The sequence below is a fragment of the Homo sapiens genome, chromosome 6, assembly GCF_000001405.40.
Source record: "Homo sapiens chromosome 6, GRCh38.p14 Primary Assembly".
In the NCBI taxonomy this organism is placed as follows: Eukaryota; Metazoa; Chordata; class Mammalia; order Primates; family Hominidae; genus Homo; species Homo sapiens.
The window spans coordinates 125,344,761-125,370,927 of NC_000006.12; the positions used below are offsets into that span (position 1 = coordinate 125,344,761).

Sequence of the window (26,167 nt, forward strand, 5' to 3'; positions counted from 1 at the left end):
CAGTAGTCCAGGTGAAAGACAATGGCGGCTTCGATTAGGATAGTAGCAGTGGGGTTGGAGAAAGATAGACAAATGGAGGATGTAGGTTGGCAGTAGAGTTAAGAGAAATTGCTGGTAGATTGGATAGGGAGATATGGGGAAAAGAAGAATTAGGGATGACTTCCTGATTGTGCAGCTAGGAGAATGGCGGTAGCAATTATTGCGATGGGATGCAGCTTTGGGGATGGGGAAACAAGAGTCTGGTTTTAGGCATGTGAAGTTTGAGATGTCTATTAGACAGCCAAGTGGATGTGTCAGATATGCCGTAGCTTCTAAGAACCTGGCATTCACGTGTCAGGTGAAGCCTGGAGTCACAAACTGGGAAACCATATAGATATTGAAGCCATAGGCCTAGATGGAAAAGTGAATAGGGGCCAGCATTGAGCTTCGGGACATACTATCATCTGCAGATAGAGCAGAGGACAAGGTACCAGCAAACAATACTACAAAGGAGCAGCCAGTGAGTGAGGACAACCAAAGGGTGGTGTATTCAGATAGCCAATAATAAAAATAATCTCATTAACTTAATCCTATGTCAGGAGTTCTATTATTGTTGCAAGTTCATCAAATAAATCTAAACAACCCCTTCTTAATATATTTGATTAAAAAAGAATTCTGTTTCAATCATCACAATTAAGTTTATTTCTCCTACCAGTAGGAGATAATCATCCCTTGGAGTAACAAATCTCATTCTCGTTAGTAAGTGGACAGAGTATTAATAGTAGGTTTTCTTCTGTTTCCCAACCCAATAGTGGTGGTTAGCTCCTTGCCTCCTTTCTTTTAAGATATCCAATACCAATCAGGTAAAAGATGAATTTAACACTTACAAAAATTACAAATGTATGTCTGAGGATCATGGTCAAATACATTCCCAACAACATGTGAACACATCAAATGTTGAAAATAGAAGGTAGGATACCCTATATATAGTGGTAATTTTGTAGCTTCGCATTGAATATACATGTACCTATATTTAGTGTAAAAAGTCGAGGAATCTTCAAAAGAAATAAAGTTTGGGAGAGCAGGGAACAGGGGGTGATTTTAAAAAGATAAACATAAATAATTTGCCTTATCAAGGCATTTTCCACCCTGGGGTGTGTGTTTGCATAAACCTGCGTGTGTGCTTAAGGGTCAGGATCCAGCATGCTCACTTGGGGTAGGAGAGGCTTGTATCAAAACATTCATCAAAACACAGGCTGCATTCCATTTCCACAGCCCAATATCAAGATTGCCCAGAATTACATCTTATGCCATTAGACGTCTAATGCAAAGCCATCAAGGCTTTCAGCTTTCCTCGGGGACACCTTGGGAGGAATTTCTGCCGAGAGTCGGCAACTCAGACCTGCTGCCTGTCAGGAAAGAACCGTGGTACAAGTTTCAGGGAGGGCTTCCGTTGTCAAAACAATAATAGCTGTAATTTTCTCTCCCTCTATTTACAGGAAACAAACTCTTCCTTCCTGTCCTCTGCCTGTAGCAGAAAATAGACAAGCCAAGCAGATGTCCAGAGATGGCGGAGGAGTACCTCGGCTGCAGCTTCCTTGAGAGAAAACAAACTCAAGGGAGCCTTGGGGGCTGGGGGTGAGAGTGCCGGGGCGGAGCTGGGGGGAGAAGGAAGGTGGCACAGTATTGTAATCAGGTTCCCTACTCACTCAAGCTGAGTGCCCGTTGCCTTCTTTCTTTCCCTCCCTCTCCCTTTGTCTCTTTTGAACTTACTGTGAAACAAGTGAACTATATATGGCCAGGGAAATCTCCAGCAGTCCCAGTATTTTTAAACTCTTGTAGTCTCCTGTTTGCACACTCATGTGACGTAGAGGAACTAGATCCAGAGAGTTTCTCATGGGAATCCGGGATGCTTCGGCATAACTGCTGGCTTTGGTTGCATGTGTTTTTGCCCCTTGTTAAAGCAGTCCTTGGGGTTTCATTTCACATCCAAAAGACCTGGGAAGCAGCAGATTCTGTGAGTGCACTAAGAATGTACCGGGGAGGCTGTGTTCAGGGTGCCTGTCCAGGATCGTCATCGAGGGCCTAAGAAACTTTCAGCCTGTGTAGCTGGCCTGGCTCAGACTGGAGGGTGAACTGCTGGGCATCTTAATGCAAACTGGAGGGCATTAGCAAGGAAGAATTATTCTCAGAACATTCCGCGAGCCCTTCACTGATGAATTCCTCATCGTTGTTGGGTTTTGTTTTGTTCTGTTTTGCTGTTCTTGTGCATTATCCAATTTTACTCAAGCTATTTTATTAATATGTGCCCCAATCCCCGCCTTCAGCGTGTGTTTCCAGTGACTGTTTATTTCTCTTTCAGTTCCTCTTGCAGACGTCCTTTTCACCACTGAAAACATGTTTCAAAATGTCCTTGAATCGAAAATATTTTATTTTATAAGAAATATATTTTCAAGCAGTTTATTCACGAGAGTGATATATTTGAGGATTAAACGAAAATAGGGGAACAACTCACATAGTTACTGAGTGGAAAAAATTACCTTTAAAACAGGATGGAAAATGAAATAGTGACTGTGGGTGTAGTTTCTTGTAGGAACACTAAGTGTAGTTAGCTGTCTAGGTCATGCACCACATAACTCTCGGTGCCACCACTCATAATATAGATTTAATTTAATATGATGATTTCCTGTCATATATTAGTGAAATGTCTTGAAGGAAGGGTCCCTTTTGTACAAAGGGGCCATATGGATTATTAGTAATCACTCTTTTTGAGGATAGGAATGAATCTTACCCGCTTTTTTTTTCCTGTTGCAATTTACCTGTTATAATCACTACTATTTACAGAGAGCTAACTTTCTATCAGACACTAGTATTAACAATGTTATGCTGGTAATAGAGTTGGGAAAAAAAAAAGAGGCCCTGACTTGCAGTGCTTGCCAATTTCCATAGTGTAAATATTCCCACCATAGCCATGTTCAGGCTACCAAAGTTCTTGAAAGCTAAGTGTAGTGTTGAGTAGGGATGATCACAATTGGCTTTCCTGAGCCAGTATGAGTTGGCTGCAACAAAACTACTGGTTCTATAATAAGTATTAACAGGCATTAATTGCTTTAAATATTAACAAGTTTTATTTGCTCTATAAAATGATATTATTATTATTCACCATCATACAGATATGGAAACTGAGGCAATGAAAAGTTATGTTACTTTGCATAAGGTGACAGAACCAGTAAGCAGTGGAGCCAAGCTTTCAGCCCAGGCTGCCTAACTCCAGAGCCCATGCACATAATCCCTAGACCATGCTGGAAGCAATAGTGCAGGTGTCAGCAAATGATTTCTACATGAGGGCATCTTGATGTCAAGAAGTGTAGTAACTGCTTTAAGTATTGTATCAGTTAGGGTTCCACCAGAGAAACAGAACTAGTAATCAATATACATAGCTAATATGAATATATAATAAATTCATATTATATATTTTTAATAACATATATATTTAGAAATAATGTAAATATATATGGATATATGTTGATTTATTGCAAGGAACTGGCTTACGTGATTGTGGCAGCTGGCTACAAAAGTCTGAAATCTGTACAGCAGGCCCTCAGGAAGGGCCGACAGAAACTCTCGAGCAGGGGCTGACACTGCCGTCCACAAGTAGAATCTCTTCCTCAAGGAAGCCTAAGTTCTGTTCTTAAAGCTTTTCAATTACTTGAATCAGGCCAACACAGATTATCCAGGACAATCTTTCTTACACAAACCAAACTATTATAGACTTTAACAACACCTACCTTCACAGCAACATCTATATTAGTGTTTGATTGAATAACTGGAGCCTATAGCCTGAATAAGTTGACTCATAAAGTGTTGAGTTGAATTGCATTGCCCAAAAATTTATGTTGAAATCTTAATCTCTGGTATCTGTGAATGTGACTTTAATTGGAAATAGGGTCTTTGCAGATGAAATGAAGGTAAGGTGAGGTCATACTAGAGTAGGGTGAGACCTGAATTGAGTGTGACTGGTATCCTTATGAGAAGAAAAGGGAAATGTAGACACAGACATACAGGTAGAATGCTGTGGAAATGGAGGCAGAGATTGGAGTGATGCATCTCCAAGCCAAGAAACGACAAGAATTGGTGGAAGCCACCAGAAGGCATGTAGAGGCAAGGAAGCCTCCTTCCCTAGAGCCTTCAGAGGGAGCAAGGGCCTGCCAACACCTTGATTTGGGGCTTCTTGCATCCAGAACTGTGAAACAATAAATTTCTGTTGGTTTAAGCTACCCAGTTTGTGATCCTTTGTCATGGCAGTCCTAGGAATTAATACTACAGGGATCTTAAAAATAACACTGTGATAATAAATAATGTCTACTTCACCAACATCTAGGACATGACTTTTACTAAAAACAAAGACTATGCTTACCACAATTTTCTTGTGACACTCTCAGTAGTGGCATGTTGGTGGGCCCTTTCAAGTCAGAGGTGTATCTATAAACTAATTGCTTTTATTTGATTCAACACATGCAGGAACGTATACACATCCTTACTGAAATAGTCACTGGAAGAAATAATTGACTTAAAGCAGTGGGGTTGCTATTATAAAATCAACTTTAGTAGCGCATTGAAATAAATATGTACGAATAAATGAGCGAGGAATAAATGTGTTCATTGCTTCCAGGGTCAGTTATTCAGTCTTTGGACTTCTAATAGTGTTAGCAGTTCTGTTTAGGGCTAAAAATGATTGCTTTCAGGGTCATCTATTCTTTGGATTTCTATTAGTGTTAACTATTCTGCTTAAGGCTAAATATGATTGCTTTCAGGGTCAGTTATTTATTCTTTAGATTTCTATTAGTGTTAACAATTTTTTAAAGCTAAATATGATTTTGGAGAACAGTCACAAATCAATATCAGATGTGATGGGAAACAAAAATAGATTTGATTAATTTTTGCCTGCAGCCTATAAATTGTCTCTGATGGCCTTTCCTAAACAGAAGAACCAAGAACATTTTCAGCAACAATAGTAGAATTTGGATAAATGTACAGAAATGTCTCATAAGATGACAGCTTTGAGGGTCAACAGTCCTTTTTATGTGTAAATTTCTGCATAGAACTTAATTTTTTTTCTAGTCCATCCTACTACTTTATAATTATAACCATAATATCTTTGTAGCAGACCAAATTACTCTTACTCCAAAGCCCAAAGCTCATTCACGGACATTCATTGTAACATTGGATTTTTTTCAGTGTGTAGCAGTTAAATTTCCATCCTGCATATTTGATAGCTTCTACTACATATAATCACATCTATTGAGTACTTGCTACCTATCAGTAGGTACTATTATTTTTATTCCCATTTATTACAAATGAGGAAAGAAACTCAGTTAGGGAAAATAACTTTCCCTTATCAAAAAGTTCCCTCATCAACTTTATATTATACTGTTACAATTAGTAACAGATGTAGGATTAGATCTTAGGTAGTCGGAATACATAGCCTGTTATTTTAGCCTTCTTAATATGTGAATAGTGTGGAAGTTACATTCAGCAAAATTTACAATGCTTCATGTGTTCCTTTAAAAATAGTGAGCAGTCGCTAGCGTTAGACCAGTACTGGTTGTAGAGATTTTAACTGGTGAATATATGGGTTGAAATGAAAAATAAGCAACAAGCAATTTATCCAGATAATCTACTAATAAAGTGATAACTAAAAGCTAATTGAAACTAGAAACTTCACATATCCTTCATTGTTTCAGCTTCACTGAGCTCCTACTATGTGCCGCCTCCAACTAGAGTACCACATTGGATCAGAGCCAAGAGCAGCAATAAGTTGCTAGGCCAGGTTCTGAGGAAGCTCCACCTCCTGTGGAGTATCCTGGATGGGATGACTTCAGGACACTGAACACCCTTACTTTACAGATTCCAAGGCAGGGTCCTGCAGGCTTAGTCTGTGTGGGTGTTAACCTGGGTCCTCTTTCTGCAGCTAAGATCTCTTTCAATTCATGATTCATTTACTGTGTCTAGAAGGAAGCTAAGTAGCAGGACTACTGAAGAAATGCTACATGATATGTTGAGATAGGTTGAGGTTATGAATATGATCTGGTAGTCATCTCTGCTTGTTTCTTTGTCAGGCAACCAAGTCATGAAGCATTTTATTTCAGAAAAGAAGGGATAAGAGAAAAGCCATGGTAAGCTCTATAAATGCCCATTTTTAGGACATGAAACACTCAGCTGAATTTCTTCATATTTGATTTCTTACTGTCTTATTTGCTTTAGAAACATGCCACAGCACAGGGATGATACAAGAAACACTTGGACATATTTCAAATTAAATTATCTTCATTCCTTTTTATTTGAATAAACCATGAGAAAATTGAGCTCTAAAATGCTCCTCCTGGGTATGCCTTGACAAAGAGCATTCTTGTTTCCCTGCAGCCAAGAGGACTGTGAGAAAGGGCAAGAAGTGCTGCTCTATTTCCAGGAGGAGGGCTCTACTGCAAGAGTGGGTTTTCTCATGGCTGTCAGTTTACAAGAGAATTCCATGGGTCAAGCCTATAGTTAAATCAATTGCATGCCTATATGGGAAAAACTCTGCCTTATCAAACTTTGCCATGTAAATACATGAGTCTGGACTCTTTCACATACATTCAGGTATTCAAATTATTTCAAAAGATATTTTAAAATTATGGTTGCAAAATACTTTGAATGCTCCTGAAGATAAATCAAGGTAGGCTTTTCTAAGACATTAAAAAACTAGTCGCTACCCAGACTGCCTCTCTACCTATTGTGGTCCAGGCCTTTTAGATCCATGGTGTTCCTCCAGACATTGCTGTTAGCTCCATAATTAGAACTAATGCACTCCCTAGACCCCAGTGACATGCTCCTGTGCTGTTGGATTGTCCTGTTTTGTAAATAAATTTCATTTGGTCTTCAAATTATCAACTTGCAGAAAATCCAGTTGAAGGTTTATTTAAAAGAAGATAGCCATTTGGACTGAATTAACTGGCCTGTTCAATCCAATGACTTCTTGAATAATCTAGTGTAGATTTAATCAAGTCACTTTCACCCTCAAAAATTGGTTCCTAAATAACAACCACATCTTAATCTGCTAAACTCGCACTTTTTCCCTACAAGAGCCCACTGCTCTGGACAAACCCATGAAGCTGTGGACATCAAACATGTTACTGGTCATCCAGACTCTGTGTTTCACCTAAATCTACCCCTATGGTGTAAGTGAACTAGAGAAACAAAGGCTTGATTCTCTAGCACTAAGATGTGCTAACTTATGTTAAGAACTTTTATTTTAGGATGTACATAAGTTAGAATTAAGTTCAGCTGTTAGTAATAGCGATCTACTTAGAGTGACTTAAACAGTTTAAATGTCTATTATCTTACTTTTTCTTTTTTTTTTTTTTACAGGAGACAGGGCCTCTTTCTGCCCCCCAGTCTGGAGGGCAGTGGAGCAAACTCTTGGGTTCAAGCCATCCTCCTGCCTCAGCTTCCTGAGTAGCTGGGATTACAGGAATGTGCCATAGTACCTGGCATATTCTCTTTTTTTTTAAAAGTTGAGAGGTATTTTTTACAGGTTTGGTGTGGTAACTGTTTGTGTTAACCCATTTTGTACTGCTGTAACAGAATAGAACAGACTGAGTAATTTATAATGAACAAAAATGTATTGGCTCATGGTTCTGGAGGCTGGGAAGTACAAGGTTGAGGGGCTGGCACCTTGCAAGGGCCTTCTTGCTACATCATCCTAGGGAGGAAGGGCAAAGGGTGGGATGAGAGGGAGGGAGACAGAAAGAAAGGGCAGGAGAGAGGGAGAGAGAGAAGGAAAGTGAGAGAGAGAGAGAGAGAAAGAAAAAAGAGAGAGAGAAAGAAAGAGAAAAAAGAGAGAAGAGAGAGAGAGATTGAGAACAGAGAGCCAAACTTATCCTTTTGGAAACCACTTCTGAAATAACAGCATTAATCTATTCATGAGGGCAGGGCCCCCACAGTCTAATTATCTCTTAAAGTTCCCACCTTTCAATACTGTTACAAAGGAAATTAAAATTTAACATAAGTTTGAGAGGGTACAAACATTCAAACCATAGAACCCTACAAAAATCTCACAGACCTAGACTTATTTCTTGCTGTTCTGCCTTCTGTTCTCAAGGTCACAAGAGGGCTGATAGAGCTGTAACTATTCACTTCACGGTGGAAGAAACAATAAGGAAAGAAGATATGATCCTCCTTTCTAAAGTGCCTTCTGGAGGTACTTTCTATTTTCCTCCCATTACCCTGAGCCTCATCATATGGCCAAACCAGAGAGGCCGGGAAATGTAATTTCACAGCTGAACACAGTTAAGTTTCCATTATAAAGAAAGAGAACGAGAAAGGATATTAGAGGCAAGAAGCTGTTCCTGTCACAGTTAGCATTAAAACTAAAGTTAGAGAAGAAAATTTTCTCTTTCATTTAATGTTCTATAAAGCAACATTTATTGATGAACTCACTGTCCTAGACACTAAGGATTCAAAAACCGAAATGACACAGTTCTTGTCTTCAGAATATCACAGTCTAATGGAGAAAATACGTGTTCATGTCCATAGATGATTACATACTAGATGTACCCCTAGATTTTTATGAGAACAAGTAAGATAAACTCCCCACTCAGACAAGGGTGAGGAAAAGGAAGAAGGCTTTATGGAAGTCACAGAAGAAAAATACGGAAAGAAAGTAGACTTTGGTGACAATGTATTGGGCAGAGGTCAAATAAAGATAGAAAATACGTCCATTGGGTTTAATAACAACAGAGGCCTTTAGTGAGCTTGGGGAACACTGTTTCAGGGGAGTGCAGGAAATCAAATCCAGTGGGGCAAAATGTGACTATTAATGATAAAGTTGAGAGGGAAAATACAGAAAAGTCTTTAAGAAATGTAGTTATAAAGAGGAAAAGAGAAGGAAAATGGCAGCTAACAAGGTCTAGGCTAGGGAATGGTTTTTTTAAGGATAAGAAACATATGAGGATACTTCAATACCACCGAGAATGTACAAAAAGAGGGACAGAGACAGATATACAAATAAAGAGAGGAAAGAGAGCAGGTGAGCTTATCCTCTGAAATGGCAGAAATCAAAGTAAAATCTAATGCCAAGGCAAGTGATATCTAAGACAATGATCATAAAACTGAGACGTATCTGAAGATAATCTCTATGTTTTCTGTGAAGTAGAAGTCCCAGTTCTGACATAGCAGTAGAGTCAGGGAGAAGAGTGATACATGCAAAAGAGTGATATGCTTTACATTAGCCATTACTAGCAATAAGAAAGACAGGGATGGGTGAAGAAAAGAAAGAAGAGTAGGAAGTAGGAAAGGGCATGCATATTATGAAAATCTTTTCTCTCACCTCTGTCCCCAGTCCCCACCACAGAGGCAATTACTGTCACTAATTTATTGTGTATTTTTCCAGAGGTATTCTATTCCAATACAAGCAAATATCTATATTTATCCCTTTTTACATTTTTACATATGGTGCATACCATACACATTTACCTTGTTTTGGATAATTTAAATATACATAGGTATACTGCTACTCTCCCAATCCCTGAGATACCATCATTAACTCCTCCCTATCTACAAACAAGATGATCATGTCAGAGATGTTAACTGTCTTGCTCAAGATTCTTAGCTGACAAATAAGTAGTGAAGCAGGAAAAACAGATTCCACCATTATATCCATATAATAGATCTGTATTACATTTGGAACTGTTCTCTCAACCAGAAATTAAATCTAAGAGAAAAATACACTTGGAAATTTAACCTCAGAGTGAGTGACTTGAATGCTCCAACTATGCTGTCATCATCATGAAATATTCTACTGCTGTGTTCTATTACTGTTTTGAAACTGTGTCAAAGACCAATTGATAGATAGTCCAGTCAGAAGATCTCAGCTGTGTATGGATATCAAGAGGCACTTAGCTCTAGGAAGGTAGCCTTCTTATGCCTCTTACAGAATTTCTCTCTCCAATTTAGTTGGAGACACAGTGGCCCTGCCTGCCAATTTTAGATCACTCTCCCGCTACAATTTACATAATTTACATTTTAACCTTACTTATCTACCGAAACAGGCCAATGACCCTCCTCAAACAGCTGTGCGTTCTATTTCCTGAGTTTCTGCACTTGTTTCTTTCACTTGAAACTGCCCCTAACACTGCCTCACTTGGACAGCTTCTTTATCTTTCCAAACATAGATTAATTCATTTGCTAATTCAATAAGTACATACTAAGTGCTGGCTACCATCCAGAAAGTTTCAGCCCAGAAGTTTTGATGGGACACAGGATAGGCAAGGGATCTGTCCTCAGGAACTTGTACTCTAGTGTAGAAAGCAGATAAAAACAAATAGATGTATTAACTAGAGATTGTTTGGGGTTCTATGAAAAAAATAAACAAGGTGTTGGAATGGGACATTACAAGAGTGACTCATTTTAGATTGTTAGAGAGATTAAGTTGAGACCTCAAGGGTGAGAAGGAGCCAGCTCTGTGGAAAGCAGGGGAAGGATGTTTCAGGCAGAGGAAAAGCAAGTACTATGGCCTTGAAGTGATAAAGTGGCTTAACCTTTCTAAGAACTGACAAAAGGCCATTGTTGCTGGTGCATAAATGAGGAAGGGGACAGGAGAGAACATAAAGGGAGGAGGTTAGAGAGGTGGGGCAGACCCAGACCATGGAGGGCTTTGTCAGTCAAGGTAACCGAACTCAACTCTAAGGATAATGGGGAAGGATTAAAAGGTTTTATGCAAGGAAGAAAAGAGATGACAACATCTGGTTTTGTTGTTAAACAACTAATTTGGCTACTTTGTAAATAATGCATCAGAAGAGACCGTGTGAAAGTGGGGAATCTGCTGAGGTGCGTGTGATAGTCTGCATGACAGACGATGGTGGCATGAACTAAGGTAGTGGCTGTGGAGATGAAGTGGGATTAACAGGACTTGCTAGTTGATGTGGCTGGTGTCAAGGATGACCCTAAGTTTCCATCCTTGGTAACTGGGTGGATGGCAGCACTGTAGCTCGCCTACACAGATCTGCTTCCTTCTTCTAGGCAAGTGCAAGCTGTCCTGCTCCAGGGCATATAGTCCATTAAGAAATGTGCAGGTTGGAGTTCAGACCCCCCACCCCTCTGCAGGACACTTTTCTGCAACCTCACTTGGTGAGCTTGGTGTTATGCTCCTGGGACAGCCACTGCAATGAGGGAAACTGGGGCTGGTGCAGATTTGGTAGCGGGGTGAGAGTAGAGAGTCCCATATTGGCCACATAAAATTTGAGTTGCCAAGAGGATAAGCCAATAGGTGATACCAAATAAGAATTTGGATATGCCCATTGAGATTAGGGAAGAGCTGAAGATTACAATGAATAAATGTTGGAGTTGTTAGTATTCAGATGATATTAAAAGTCATAAGAATAAATGAGATCTGCTGGGCACACACAGTGGCTCATGTCTGTAATCCCAGCACTTTGGGAGGCCGAAGTGAGCGGATCACCTGAGGTCAGGGGTTTGAGACGAGCCTGGCCAACATGGCGAAACCCTGTCTCCACTAAAAATACAAAAATCAGCCAAGCATGGTGGCAAGCGCCTATAATCCCAGCTACTCAGGTAGCTGAGGAAGGAGAATTGCTTGAACCTGGGAGACGGAGGTTGCAGTGAACCAAGATTGTGCCACTGCACTCCAGTCTGGGTGACAGAGCGAGACTCCGTCTCAAAAAAAAAAAAAAAAAAAAAAAAATAGTAAATGAGATCACTTAAAGAGGGAAAGAAAGCATCCAGGATAGACAACCAATGAACTCTTAAATGTAGTTCAGGTACAAGAGAAACACAAATAGCAGAGACTGAGAATGAAGAGCCACTGGGGTAAAAGAAAAATCTAGTGAGGTGGAGTAGCCCTAAATCCTAGAGAAGAGTGTTACAAGAAGAGGGTAGTGCTCCACTGTCAAATGCTGTTGAAAAGCTGACTTGGATGAGGCCAAAACAATATCCTTTGGATATGACACTAAGGAGGTTACTAGCGACTTTTGTGAGAGTGGATCAGTAGATTGCTAAGAACAAATAGTAGATAGAATGAAGTGCAAAGTAAACAGGTGAAGGAAGCAGCTACCATTGGAAGAACACTCTAGCAATTTTGCTCTGCAGAAGATTAGATGAATGGGGACAGTGGCTGAAAGAGTATGTAGAGCAAATAAATGTGCTTCTTCTACAGGCTGGAGTCACTTGAGTGTGTCTGTATCCCATGCTCCTTCCTCCAGAGTGGCTGACGTGGCCCTCGGTGCCTGGCTTGGGCTCACACCCTATGCAGTTTCTATGCAAATCAAGCATACCTCCTTCTAGGATGTGCCTCACTTTGCTGTGATTGTTCTGAATGTACCGGCATTCTCGAGCCTCTGTCTGTCACTCAGCAGTCCTCCCTTGGGGGTGGGTGACAGGTTAGGTTCCCACTTACTAATGAGCTCATTTACATTCGTGTAGCTTCCAGTATCTGCATCTTTAAGTAAATCTCTATATTTGGTTCAAAAGATGAGAAGGTAAGCAGTCAGTTATCTGAAAAAGCCTGATATTCCCCACCTCTCAACCCCTCCAAAACACATAGTCTGATATGTGACTTGCTGTGAAAAAGAAAAACATCCTTTTGGAAATTGTTCTTCACAAGAGGAAACACTGCTCTGGCTGAAAGGTGATATTGTTAGCATATAAACTGTACATTGCATTCTACTGGAGGTTTTCAGTGTGCACAAGATTTGGTCACAAAGAACAAGTTTGTCCTTGTATAGACTTGAACAAGTGTGTGTGTGTTTAATTCTAAGGACACCAGAGTTTTCAAATGTTGCTTCTTTACTGGTTTTGTTAGCTTGAGAATGGGCTCTGTCCTGACCTTGCATATACTTAGCATGTTCCCAGCAGCAGCATCTTGGCAGGGCCCTGCCAGGAAGCGAAGAAACCACACAGCCCTTCATTTGTTTCTAGGACAACGCGTAGTAAGTACGTAGGATGCGTCTGGCTGCCTCCCAGCTGTGTACATTTGCTGTCAGAGTATGCTGGTGGCCCAAGAGTGATTTCAGAAGAAAGGGCTGCCTGTCAGCTCTGAGGAAATGGTATCAAACAAATAAACTGCTCCCAGACCCCTAGGTCAGCCCATGGTGTTGGGTCTCCACTCCAACAGCTAATTCTTCTGTCCTCTCTTGCCATTGATTGGCACGATGAACGCAGGAAGCAGGTGAGAGAAGATGGAGCAACTGAGGGGCTGTGTTCTGACAAGGAGGGTGTGAGAGAGCTACAAGGACCTCTCCATCCTCAGGGCTCCAATTAAATGACTTCCTTCCCTAGGGCTAAAGACAGGTCATGAAGGATAAAATTACCAACCCAGGAAAGAGAAGACGTTTATAGCTTCTGCTACTTTTACAAAAATAGATGAAAGGAAAGATTGTTTTTTCCACCCTTTGCAGCCTGTGAACTTCCTTAGCCCTGTGCATAACTTGCTCATTTTTCCAGAAATAGGAGACTTGTGGTTGTCAAGTGCATTGTACATACTGCTTACAAGGCGACACTCTCTACCTTAGAGAGATGTTTTGCTGAAGCTTCTCCTTATTCTTGCCTTTCTTCCCTTCCTCATTTGTTCCCTCCTTTCTCTCTTCCTTTTCTTTATCTTTTTGTTTTTTCTTTCATTTTTTCTCTCTCTTTCTTTCAGCTTCGTGAGATATAATTTGCATAATATAAATTCACTTTTTATAGAATTATGCAACCAATACCATAATTCAATTTTAAAACATTTCCATCACCCTCAAAACAGCCCTTCTATCTATCAGCAACCACTCTCCATTCCCAACTCCAGGCAACTGTTAGTCTACTTTCTGTCTCTACGGATTTGCCTTTATGGGACTTTTCATATAAATCGAATCATATATAGTATATATATATATACATAGTGGGTGTGTTTGTATCTGACTTCTTTCACTTAGCATAATGTTGTTAAGTTTCATCCATGTTCATTCATGTTGTTGCATGTGTGAGTACGTCGTTTCTTTCTATTGCTGAATAATATTCTTTGGTATTGAAATACTACATGTTGTTTATCCATTTTTCAGTTTACTGGCATTTGAATTGACTCCACTTTTTGATGACCATAAATAGTGCTGCTATGAACATATGTACAAGCATTTACGAGAACATGTTTTTATTTCTCTTGGGTAGATACTTAGGGATGGAGTTGCTAGGTTGTATTGTAAATTTATCGTCAACATTTTAAAAATTGCCAACTGTTTTCCAAAGTCACTGCACAATTTTACATTTCCATCAGCAATGGATGAGAGTTTATACACATGATCATCAATGCTTGCTATTGTCTGTCTTCTGGATTGCAGCCAGCCTGGTGGGGTGAAGTGGTATTGTAACATTTCTTATAGGAGTCAGATTGAAGAAACCAAGTTTCTAGGTTTGGCTGGCTTGGTAAGGAGACACTCTGAGATGTAGAGACCAAACAAAATGAGGATAAAGTAATGACTAACATGACAAGTGGTTACGGTTTTTAAAAGAAATGCTGAAAAGGATTTATTAATTTTAAGGATCAATAGTCATGAACAGGCTGCACCCCATGACTCATGCCTGTAATCCCAGCACTTTGGGAGGCCGAGGGGGTGGATCACTTGAGGTCAGGAGTTCAAGACCAGCCTGGCCAACATGGTGAAACCCCGTCTCTACTAAAAAAACAAAAATTAGCCAGGCATGGTGGCATAGACCTGTAATCCCAGCTACTTGGGAGGCTGAGGTAGGAGAATCACTGAACCCAGGAGGCAGAGGCTACAGCAAGCCAAGATCGTGCCACTGCACTCCAACCTGGGTGACAGACAGAGACTCTGACTCAAAAGAAAAAAAAAAGCAGTGAACAATTCATATATACTCTTATTCTCCAAAGGGAGAGAGAGAGGGGGTGAGAGAAAGAAGAGGAAGAAGAAGAAGAAGGAGGAGTAGAAGGAGGAAGAGGAGGAGAAAGAGGAGAAGAGAGAGGGAGAAGAGGGAGGGAGAACAGGAGGGGGAGAAAAAGAAGAAGATAAAAAATAAAAAGAAGAAGAATCAATTTATCATATCTCTCTCCTTGCTTCCTTATGGTACACACCCCTATCTCCTATTCTAGCAGTACCAGGTTGTACATTTACATCTTTTGGGACAACTGAGATATCAACTATGCTCACCATCTGGTTTGTTACTCCAGAACACTAGTAAGTGGGATGTATGTCAGGTTTTCTCTGTACCAGTTGTAATCAGTACATGTGGTAACCGCACTGAGATATTCTGACTCGAGGAGATACTTCACAGCTGGTAAACTGATAAGCTAGTCAAATTTAATAATTCTAATTTCTGTTTTTCCACATACTTATAATTTTCCCCAGTAAGTATTATGTTGATCTTGTGTTATTAATAAAAATTATAGGGTGTTTTGATCATTTTTGTGACTGCTGGGACAGTTCTTAATCTTCCATGCTTTTTAAAGAATTTTGATAAAGCAAAGCACTACTAATTTTCAGACAGCTACATCTGCTTAGCTTATATAATTAGGTTTTTATAAGTTTCTTTCAAATTTTGTCTGTGCCTCCCAGTAAATTGTTTGAAAACTCACTGGTTAAAAATGACAATTTCTCACCATTAGTTCACACATTTTGAATGTTTGTGTATCCTGGAGTGGTCTTACCACTTTTAAATCAGCTTTTCCTAAGTCAATTAGCTTTAAAAAATTATAAACTTATTTATGTCTACTGATGTTTACCTGCTTAGCACTAGTCTAAATTGTTCTTCAAATGTATTTTTATATTCTTTTTATTTTTTATTCAAGAAAGAAAAAAATAAAACCTCTAAGAGGAATGAAGCCCTATTTTTATTGTAGTTTTTGATGGATATTACTGAAAAGAACATACAAATCGTAATTGTTTTCCTAACGTGGGAAAGCAAAACCTAGAAAAGTACCACCTTAATCTGCAATTAAATGAACTATAGTGTATTCATTCAATACAATTTCATTTTATCATTTCTTTAATGACAGCAAATTTGTTATGTATAAGTTTACAAAGTTGTTCTCATATTTTAAAAGCATGAAAGCAAGTTTCAGAGAAGTATGGGTAGCATGATTCTATTTGCATGCAAATGGTATAGACATATATATCTTTGCTTATGCAGAAGAACTCTTTGGAGGTACCCGCACCTGTTAACAGCAGCAATCCTGGGGCATAAAATGAAGATATTTTCTATAATGCTCTGACATTTGATTTTACTGAAATTGGATTTTTTTCTAATAAAAGCTTCAAACAAAATTCCATGTTTCCAAAGAACAGGGGTATCTCCTTAAATTTTAGCATATCTGTTTAGTTCACCTATCTCTTCATACACTTTTGGTAATGCTCATCAATGGATGGGGCCTGTACTGTGGCTGAATGTGATTAGGTCTTTTTACAGAAAGCTTTATTATTACTTACTGCTCCAGTAAAATTAAAATAACCAAGTGTCCATTCTAATATTTTTCAAAGACTCCACTCTACTTAATTTCTCTTATCTCTTCCCACACCCAAGGCCATGCCTTCATCTCTAGCAGTGCAAACCTACCTGATATGCCCTCAGAGCATATTTCTCTATTTGTTTTAGTCAAACCACTCATTCCTCTTCTGCAAAGCCTTACTTACAGCTCCCCTCTCTATGCAGCATTCCCATCGCCTTTGACCCTGAGACCACGGTTATCACTGTGACCACTGCGCAATACTGCTTCTTCCTCTCTCCTTCACATATCACTCAAGTTTGACCTTCTAGCCCAGAAAGCACACAGACAGCCTAACCTCAGAAATACTACTATTTAGTTCCACATGGGTTTGCAGAGCTTTCTGGTTACAACACATTTTGAAGAGAGACCTTTAGATTTTGTCTTATCTCAAAGTTCAGGTAAGCAAATTAAGCTCAAAAAATCATTTCTGGGAGAACATCAATCTTTGGAAATTTTTTTCAGCCATTTCATATTGAGGCATTCGTGTTTTTTACTTTGCTTGTATTAAATAAAATCTAATCGCTGAAGAGGTTTTTCAGTATTCTTAAATGGTTCTACTTTGAGATTTAAATGTTTTTGCTTATAGACCATACCATAAACCCTTGTTACTTGTGTTTGGTTGGTTCATTTGTCTTCTGCCTAGCACCACTAAGCCCAGTATTCCAATATTAGCTGATCTCCTTAGTCCTTCCATGGCTACGGACTACGCAAATGCATGCCCTTGGTCAAAAGTAGGTGTGGCAGGAAGAAAGCCAAGGAAAACACTGAGAGGAGCTGGGGAACAGATGTGATTATTACTTTGACACTTTAAAATGTGCCCTAGTTTGCTTTAAGTACCTCATTCATAAACAAATAGTTTCAAACATTATTGGGCATTTCATGGGCACTTTATGAGTATTTTCAAGGCTGCATCAATTAAGCAAGCAGCTAATCATTTCATCCACCTTTTTCAGGGTATGTCAGAGGAGATGTGGACAGATAAGATATATGGACAAATTATTAACTATGTGAAATAATTTCCCTAGAAATACCTAACTCATGTAAGCAAGTGTTAGGTATTTCTAGGGAAGAAATGTAACTTTTTCTCTGAGAGACTGGGAATATATTCATAGTTAAAGGGACACTTGGCCTGGACTTCGAAGGATGGATACAATTTCAATAGACAGGTGAAAAGTGTCTTATGAATCACATGGCACAAAGGCAGAAAAATGATGAGGCATTTTCAGGGAATTTTTGGTAGTTATTTTGACTGAAGCAAGAAGTTTGAATAGCGAAAAGGCAAGTAAAGTTGGTCAATAAAGATGTTGCAGAACCTTCAATGTCAGACGAAGGAGGTGCACATCTTGCTATAGAGAATAGAAAATCATGCCATATCATTGAGATGATCAGCTTATGACAAGATGGCAGCAACATGTCCCCTGGACTGGAGGGCAGGAGGCCTTGGGGACCCAGAGAAAACAGACTTCTCCGTTGCAACTGTATGTGAGGGGAAGAAAGATCGTTGCCTGAGCTAGGACAGTGTCCATGAAAACACAAAGGAAAAGACCACTGTGAAAAATGGTGTGAAGAAGTAACGGAAGGGATTTCATAGCAGGTAGGATGTGCCAGGCAGGGTAGAGAGCAAAGGCAAGAGGACCTCAGATCTGCAAATCCGGATGACTATGGTAATATTTTTGTTAGTAAGTTGAGCGGAGAAATCAGCGAGAGGAGAGAAAATACCCAGTTCAGTTTTTGACATGTGTTATTTTAAGTGATCGGAAGAGGAAATTTCGGCAGGCATTTAGAAATGCGTTTGCCTAATGTAATTTAAGCGTCCATTTTTTACAAAGTTAATTAAATTTCCTTCACTCGGGGTCCTTCCCTCCCGGGAAAAGTGAGCATGAGTCACACTGAGAAGCTCCTGCCTGGAGGAAACTGCAGATTCCATTGCTGTGAGGCCAATTGTTTCCGTGCAAAGTGACAAACGAGGTAACATGAACCTTCCAAAGCCAACTGGGTTGTCTTTGTCTTTCCGTGCCAGGTAAGAAGAAGAGGACAAGCCCTGCCCAGTCCCAAGAAGTGTTAACAGGCGCTGGAGCTTTATCTGCGGCTGCACTCGCTTCTCCCTCCTGCAGACATTCTTGCTGCTTTCCGGTCCCACGGGACGGCTCCCAGGCTCCCGCCTCACGGCAAGAAAAATAAAGGCCTCCCCGCACAGCCAGCCAGCTTCGTTCATTCACGTCACCGACAAACACTCCTAGCAGGCGTTGTTAAACGTTCAGGGAGCGCCCGGGACCTAGCCGAGGCCCCCTCCTGGCTGTGCCGCGGGGGGATGCGCAGCCCCTCGCACCGACTGCGGGAAGGAGAGTGTGGGTGGCCGGCGCGCCCGGTCCAGCTGCCGGCCTCTCGGGAGAACAATGCGTCTGTCACACAGTGACTGATAGGGCAGCGAGCGCTGAAAGGGAGGCGCACGTCTGTCCTGTCTTCCCACCAGGCTGGCTTGTGCACCTCCCACTGCTCTTAGGCAAAGAGCCAGCAACAGGGCCCCTGGACGATTCTTGCAAAGACGTACGCAGTCAAGGCGTAGGAACAGCCAGGGCTGACTTTTGCTGCTGACTACACCCAGGGGGTGGGGATGCCCAGGCAGAAATGCAGCCACCGCCTTCACGCAACTCCAGGCCTTGGGTCCTGCCCTCCTCCAGCCGCCCACAGCCCCTCTTTCAGGAGAGGCTGGAGGGCATGAGGACTGATAAACTCGCCTGCCATTGTCTCCAAGGGCGACCCTGCAGGAGGTCAGGCTGCCTGATTATCGCTCAGGAATCCTGCTGTCGGCTATTCCTGGCTCTGACCCTCACCTGCTCTCTAACCTCAGGCAGTCCCCTTTGACTGCCCTTATGCTCAATTTCCCCTTTTCGTCAATACTCAGATGCCCTCTGCGACATAAACCAGGGGCCATTTGGCAAAATATCAGTGACTCCCACCCCTGGGAGAAGGCTAGTGTTTTGAACGATTCATTTTAAAGAACAAAATCCTGTTAATTACTTTTCAACGTGAATATAAGCATACACACAATATACATATTCGTATATATTTTCATAGGATTCTTTCACATACACATATATTTACTACTAATAAGTAAACTATAAACGTTCCTTCAGGAGCTAGTAAAATAAACAAGACATATATAATAATTCAATTGATCATTGGCAGTTCATTTAAGATTATTTATCCTTTTAAGCACAGTCCTACTGTAATCTGGTTGCCAGACCCCTCAGGTGCACTGTAATTCTCCTGAACCCAAGTCAGTCTCAAAAATCCTTGTTACTGGGGTGGTGATTAGATTCCACAGAACATACAAGAAAACCTTCATCAAATTTTCAAAATTAGGTTAGGGACAGAACGTATGAACGAAATGGTTCCCAGGAGTCTGAATTTCCAATTCAGTATTCTATTCGTATCACATGGCTTATTCAGGATCTGATTCTTCAGCTAGGTTATAATTTTCTAGAAGGCAAGACTATGCTGTACATCTTATTCTCAACACAGAGAACTGTGCCTTGCATACAGCTGGTGCTGAATAATGGCTGCTACTGAACAAGTTGATTTCTCTAAAATCCCTGGAAAGAAAATGAGATGAGCAAAGAGAAATATGGCTTCATTTAGTGCTACAAAAGGAAAAATAAACTCCACTACTCTACAAAATACAAGTGAGACCTAAAAAAGAGGTAGGTGACAACTATACATGGATAACAACTAGAAACTTTGGTTATACTGGCACTTGCTGTAATTCTGAGAGACATTTCCATGGCCAGAAAAGAGCCTATGAGGTCAGTTTTAAGAGAAGAGTAATAGATGATGGCTTAGGAAAGTTTTTCTGGAAAAAAAAGAAGAGAACTTCTGGCTTGATTTTGCAATACTATTATTATAAGTAGGTCGCAGATAAAAAACTGTCTGTGTCCAGACTATTCAGAAATCAAACTGTTGCCAGAAGAAACTAAAGAAATGCTGCAAAATGTAAATCGGATGAGTGAGACTTTTGATTGTTTTAGTCAGAAAAATATAACTGTGGAGGAGACATGTATTAGAATAGGTCACGTGGGTGAAGCTGGTGGACATTATGCTAAGTGAAATAAGCCAGGCACAGAAGACAAATACTGCATGATCTCACTCATATGTGGAATCTAAAAACATTAAACTCGCAGAGACAGAGAGTACAATGGTGGCTGCCAGGGACAGGGGAGGGCGAAATAGCGTTATGTTGGCTGAAGTTTAAATACAAAAGATTTAAGGAAAAAAAAAAAGGCTAGAAAAGATGCTTTGGTGAAAAAAAAAGGCTAGAAAAGATTCTTTGGCAAAAAAAAAAAAGTTTTTAGAATGGAGAGTGCAAACCTATCAAATTTCAGTGGACGCGAAAGAAACAAATATCTTAGTGTAAGGTAAATAGTCCCACCTGGTAAGGAACGACAGAGTCAGTAGAGAGAACCAGACAATCAAGAAGGGGATAAAAGGACAACCACATTGAAGTTCTTTAGGATGACCACTGAAGATGAAAGGGAAGAAAGGGACCAAAGGTAAAAGACATTCAAAGGAGCACGGTGTAACCACTGCATTCTCCTCAGATGCGTCTTCTGAAGACGGTTATTTGAAAAGGACTCCCCATGTACAACTTTAATATGGTTTAGCTCTGTGTCCCCACCAGAATCTCATCTCCAATTACCATCTCCAGGTGTTAAGGGAGGGGCCAGGTGGGAGGTGACTGGATCATGGAGGTGGTTTCCTCCATGCTATTCTTGTGATAGTGAATTCTCACAAGATTTGATGGTTTTATAAGTGTTTGACAGTTCCTCCTTTATACTCGCTCTCTCTCTCCTGCCACCATGTAAGACGTACCTGCTTCCCCTTCCACCATGATTGTAAGTTTTCTGAGGCCTCCCCGGCCATGCAGAACTGTGAGTAAATTAAACTCCCTTTCTTTATAATTTACCCCATCTCATGTGGTGTTCTTCATAGCAATGTGAAAATGGACTAATATAAACTTCATGAGAAGGAGAGACAGAACATAGGGATATAGAACTACTACTCCCTTTTCTTTTTCTTTTATTTTCACTACAGGAGATGGAATTGGAAGAGAACACTGGACAGGGTTGAAGAAGGAAAATTCTCCCCTGTTGTGAACATGAATTAAGATGATGTTGCTACAAGTCCCCATTCCGTGAATCTGCCTGAACTGGGCAACTTGCTGCCTTTCAGTGAGTCAGGATGTTTTATTTCAGGCAGCAGGAGCTAAGGCAGCAACCTCTGTGGTTGTGGGCTACAGAGAGCTCCTGTGCAAAACTACAGAATATGCAGAATTGGTCTTTGTGCTTCTTTTACCTCCCTTTCGGAATCTCTCTCCTACCTCTTGCTCTTTCCCCCATCTTCCAGATACTCAGCACCCCCATGCTCCTTTCAGAGACAAATATCTTTAGCTCCCTTCACAAAGCACTTCCACATAAAATAGCTTATTTGAGTTACACCTCAACAAGCAATTCAACATGTATGCTGTTAACAGTCCTACGTTACAGAAATGTTAAGAAGTTATTTGCCCCAAGGTCATTAGGGAAGAAAATCTCAGAGCTGAGACTTGAACTCACATCCTCAGAAGTCCAATTCTCTTGGGAGCACTTTCCATGGAGGAATTCTAGTTCTGATATGAAACTGCTCATTCTCCACACTGCCACGGCAGTCAGATAATAAAAAGAAAATTGGGGCCAGGCACAGTGGCTCATGTCTGTAATGACAGCACTTTGGGAGGCCAAAGTGAGATGATAGCTTAAGGTCAAGAATTGGAGACCAGCCTGGGCAACAAGGCAAGATCCCCATCTCTACAAAAACAAAACAAGAAGTTCAGGATTGCTGTGACATCTACTTTTCCCATTTGCTCACTTTTATAAGGAACTCTTGATTCCTCCAGGACTCAGCACAAACATTTATTACTCAGGCAAAAAGGCGGTTTGGCTCAGCAAGCTGGGAGTGTTAGAAACTGTGAATCACCAATGGAACAGGGAAGACATTCTGAAGTGAAAATGGGGAAGAACATGTGAGAGAAGGGAAAAGATAACAAAAAGCAGTGAAGCTGATTCCCTGATGAGAAGGATTGTGCTTGAGGGTGAATTTAAGGGGGTCTAGCTGGGCAAGGTGGCATGAGCCTACGACTCCAGCTATTAAGGAGGCCTAGGAGGGAGGTTGGCTTGAGACCAGCGGTTCAAGGCTGCAGTGAGCTATGATCCCACCACTGTACTCCAGCCTGGGCAACAGAGCAAGACCCCATCTCAAATAAATAAATAAATAAATAAATAAATAAATAAATAAATAAGGAGTCTATTGAGCTTGATAAGCTATGGAAAAAGGAGTATGGTGAGAGGAAATGCAGGCTCTCTCAGCTGGGGACCAGCAGAAAAGTGGAGGGGAAAACAGCTGATGTGCTGCATACCTGGATAGTTGTCTCAACTTGATGGGGAGAAATGCTCCTTGTTCAGATCTGTCACCTTGGTACATAGCGCATCATCTGAGGTAGCAGGTGTTCGATACATATTTGTGGAAGTAAACCTTAACATGTATTCCAAGCAAGAACTGAGTTCAGGAAAAGAAACTATGATATGGGCATGAGATGAGTAAGTAATGGCAAAAATAGAATTGAGGCCAAATGTTAAAAGTTATTGGTATTCAGAGACAAACACTGATTGTATTGCATTTGAGACGCTGAAGGCCTAAAGGAACAGAGAAACCACTGAGAACCACCTGCTAATTTTATGAGGGAAGAAAGTGAACCAGAGACAGGTTAAGTTCTTTTCCAAAGCATAAATAGCTAGTTAGGGGAAAAGAAGGAATTTGCACCTGGAAATGCCAATTTAAAACTGGAATAAGAACAAAAAGGCCAGCATCCTACCCTAGTCCCAGAGTGAAGAGAGCCTTGGCTTTACTTGCAGTAGAACTTGTTCAAGTTCCAGCTCAAATTCCTTTGTGACGCCAGACAAGTCCTATAGGGTTTTCACTTCTTGTATTATTTAAAACGTTTGGAGGATAATAATAACTACCCCCATTCCATCACAAAGTTTTTAGGAAAATCTGTGAGATAGTATGTCAAAAGATTGTAAAAAATTAAAAAATTTGCAAGGGTAAATTATTTTGAATGTCTTTTAGTATTTAGACAAAAGGTTTCACTTTTTATAGTATAATTTTCCTTTGTTGTTATTATCATACAAAATCTGTGTCAGAACAAAAAACATTTTTTCAATGTATGCTATTAAATCTCAAGTGATAAAGAATATGCTTGTGGTTTACACAGATTCACGTTAAAAAACAACTTCATGAAAATAATATTCTGCCTGCCAATCACATGGCAAGTCTTGTTTAGATAAGGTTTTACATTTTTTCTTTTTTCTATTTACATTCTTTCTCATTTATCTATATGCATATGGTTATATGTACAAGTTTATCTTTAGTTTCAAGTGTGGCATCTTGACAAGTTTTATTGCCTGCTGGAAAGGTAGGGTGAATAGATTTTGAAGAATCCTAATGACTTTTCCTCTTAGGGAAGCAAAAGACTGTAGATAATGGGTTCAGAGCTTTCCTTTACAGGGACTTTGAGTTATTGTTGTTGCTACTATTTCAACTAGGAGGAAAGGACATTGTGAAAAGAGGTGTTTCAACTTTCTCATTGGGAATGTTGATGAAAGAGTTGATTCTCCTCCAAAGAAAAAAAAATGGGAAAGGGGCAAGGTGGTGAAATAACATTGGCAGACAGATGAATAGCTGGCAATTGAAACCTAAATATGGAAAATAACCCAGGCAGCTAGCTACCTTGAAGGAAAATTATGTAAACAAACTTGAATTTGAAAGAGAAAAATGCTAAATACATTCTGAGAGGTCCTAAGAAAATAGGAAATAGCCCAATAGAAATCCTGAGAAAATCGAAATCAGAAGTATGTCTAATGATTATAAATCGAAGAACAAAACACAGGGTCCCCGAGACTAGCAGGGTTATATATATGGTAAGAGTTTTGGGTAGCAAAATCATGGGGAATATGGAAATGTCTGAATGGCATGGACGAGGGTGCAGATTATGTTAAAATATAATGAGAAGCCTCTAGAACTAGAATATCAAAGAACGGTGATTTACCCACCAAAGATAATGGTTTAGGAAGAAGATTGACACCATAAACATTCTTAGAAAAACTAAATAATGGAATCAAAACACTAAGAGAAAAGAGAAGACAACTAATAAGCAAGGAAAGACAGACAAATTAGAAAATGGAAAAATAAGGGAGAAATAATATAAGGAAAATCATCCATCATGGATAGTTGTTTGGTCTGGTTTGGTAGTATGTTTGCAGGTTTGACATTTTGTACATATTTTTAAAACTAGATAGCTAATTATAATGGAGGTGAGAGGAAAAGATGAAAATAAAACCGAATATAATCTAAAGACATAAAAGAATTTTAAAAAATAAATGTAAATAATATTGAAGAAGTTTCTCCAATACCTAAGAGGAGAGTCTTCTTGTAACTCCATACATTTCTATGAAAAGGAGGAAGAAAGCTGCTTTGTATGAAGCATAGGCATTTTCCTACTTTAAACCTATAAGGAAATTTGGATGACCACAAACTATAAGTTTTTTAAATGACTAGGATATAAAAGGAGAAAGCCCAAAGCAACTTGTGGGTGATGGTTTTAATATCTAATACTTACCACATGTTAAGTTCATCTCTGCTCCAAAGAGTTTTAAAAATACTAATATATAGAAGTATCATATAAAATTATTTTACTATTTGTGTTTTTATTTAAATAATCATATTTCTGTCAATATTGATATTTAAGCTATCAAATATTGACTTTTTATATCATCAGAGAAATGTCACAGGACACTCAGAAAGTAGTTTTATAAAACTTTCTAGTACAAGAACTTTTGTCGAACCATCAAGGGAAATAATGGTAGATTAAAAATTATTTTGCCCCTGGCTTTCATTAGTGCCTAAAAACCCAGGCCCAAGTGTCAACTGATGCATTACCATCAGATTATTTACTTCACAGATCAGTGACTAAGTTTATTTGAGTCCGATTTTCATGGAATAGCATGGATTTTTTGTTTTATTTTTAAATCTGATAAGTATAAGCTTACAGGTGTACCTGTTTCCTGCTGTTCTGAAAACGTGACCAGGCTCTCTCTGTGACAGGATCACACCACAGCTCGTAGCCACTCTGTGCAATAATCTGCAGATGATAACGCCTTTGCAGAGCAGACCTGCACGTGTACTTGCAGAAAGGTCTCTGTCAGACACAGCGGGTGCCTGTGATATCTGAGAGTGGGTCAGCAGGACTGGCACGTTCAGCAGCTCAGGAAGCCAACTTCCAACGGCAGGAGCAGGACCCTCTGCATGTGACTCTGATGGGGCAGATGGTCCTTGGGGCTTCCCTAAAGCCAATGGTACCAAATAAAAGAGAACATCATCTACCCTTGAGACTGCTAAGTGGCTTTAAGAGGCAGAAAAATGCCAAGCATGGACCTTAACCCCCAGATGACAGCAAAATGGGCAGAAAGCAAGCCATCTCAAAAATGTCAGTGGAAATAACTTTGAGACCCCTGGGAAGTGTTTCAACTTGGAATAAAACAAAAGAGTGTATTTGGCAAGTAAGCGTGG

General features: G+C 40.0%; 2 long non-coding RNA genes across 4 annotated transcripts in view; one reads left to right on the plus strand and one right to left on the minus strand.

Moving 5' to 3' along the window:
- Positions 1–1,758: 1,758 nt before the first annotated feature.
- On the plus strand, positions 1,759–11,319 carry LOC107986640 (uncharacterized). Its single transcript, XR_001744328.3, has 3 exons — positions 1,759–1,996; positions 6,099–6,155; positions 7,387–11,319. It is a non-coding gene; the product is annotated as an uncharacterized LOC107986640 (long non-coding RNA).
- A 13,957-nt stretch (positions 11,320–25,276) lies between these two features.
- The window catches only part of LOC102723341 (uncharacterized), a 75,143-nt gene continuing 74,252 nt past the window's right edge, over positions 25,277–26,167 (minus strand). For all 3 annotated transcript variants that reach the window (NR_187740.1, NR_187738.1, NR_187739.1), the window contains one exon: positions 25,277–25,941. This is a non-coding gene — a long non-coding RNA (uncharacterized LOC102723341). The remainder of the gene's footprint in view (positions 25,942–26,167) is intronic.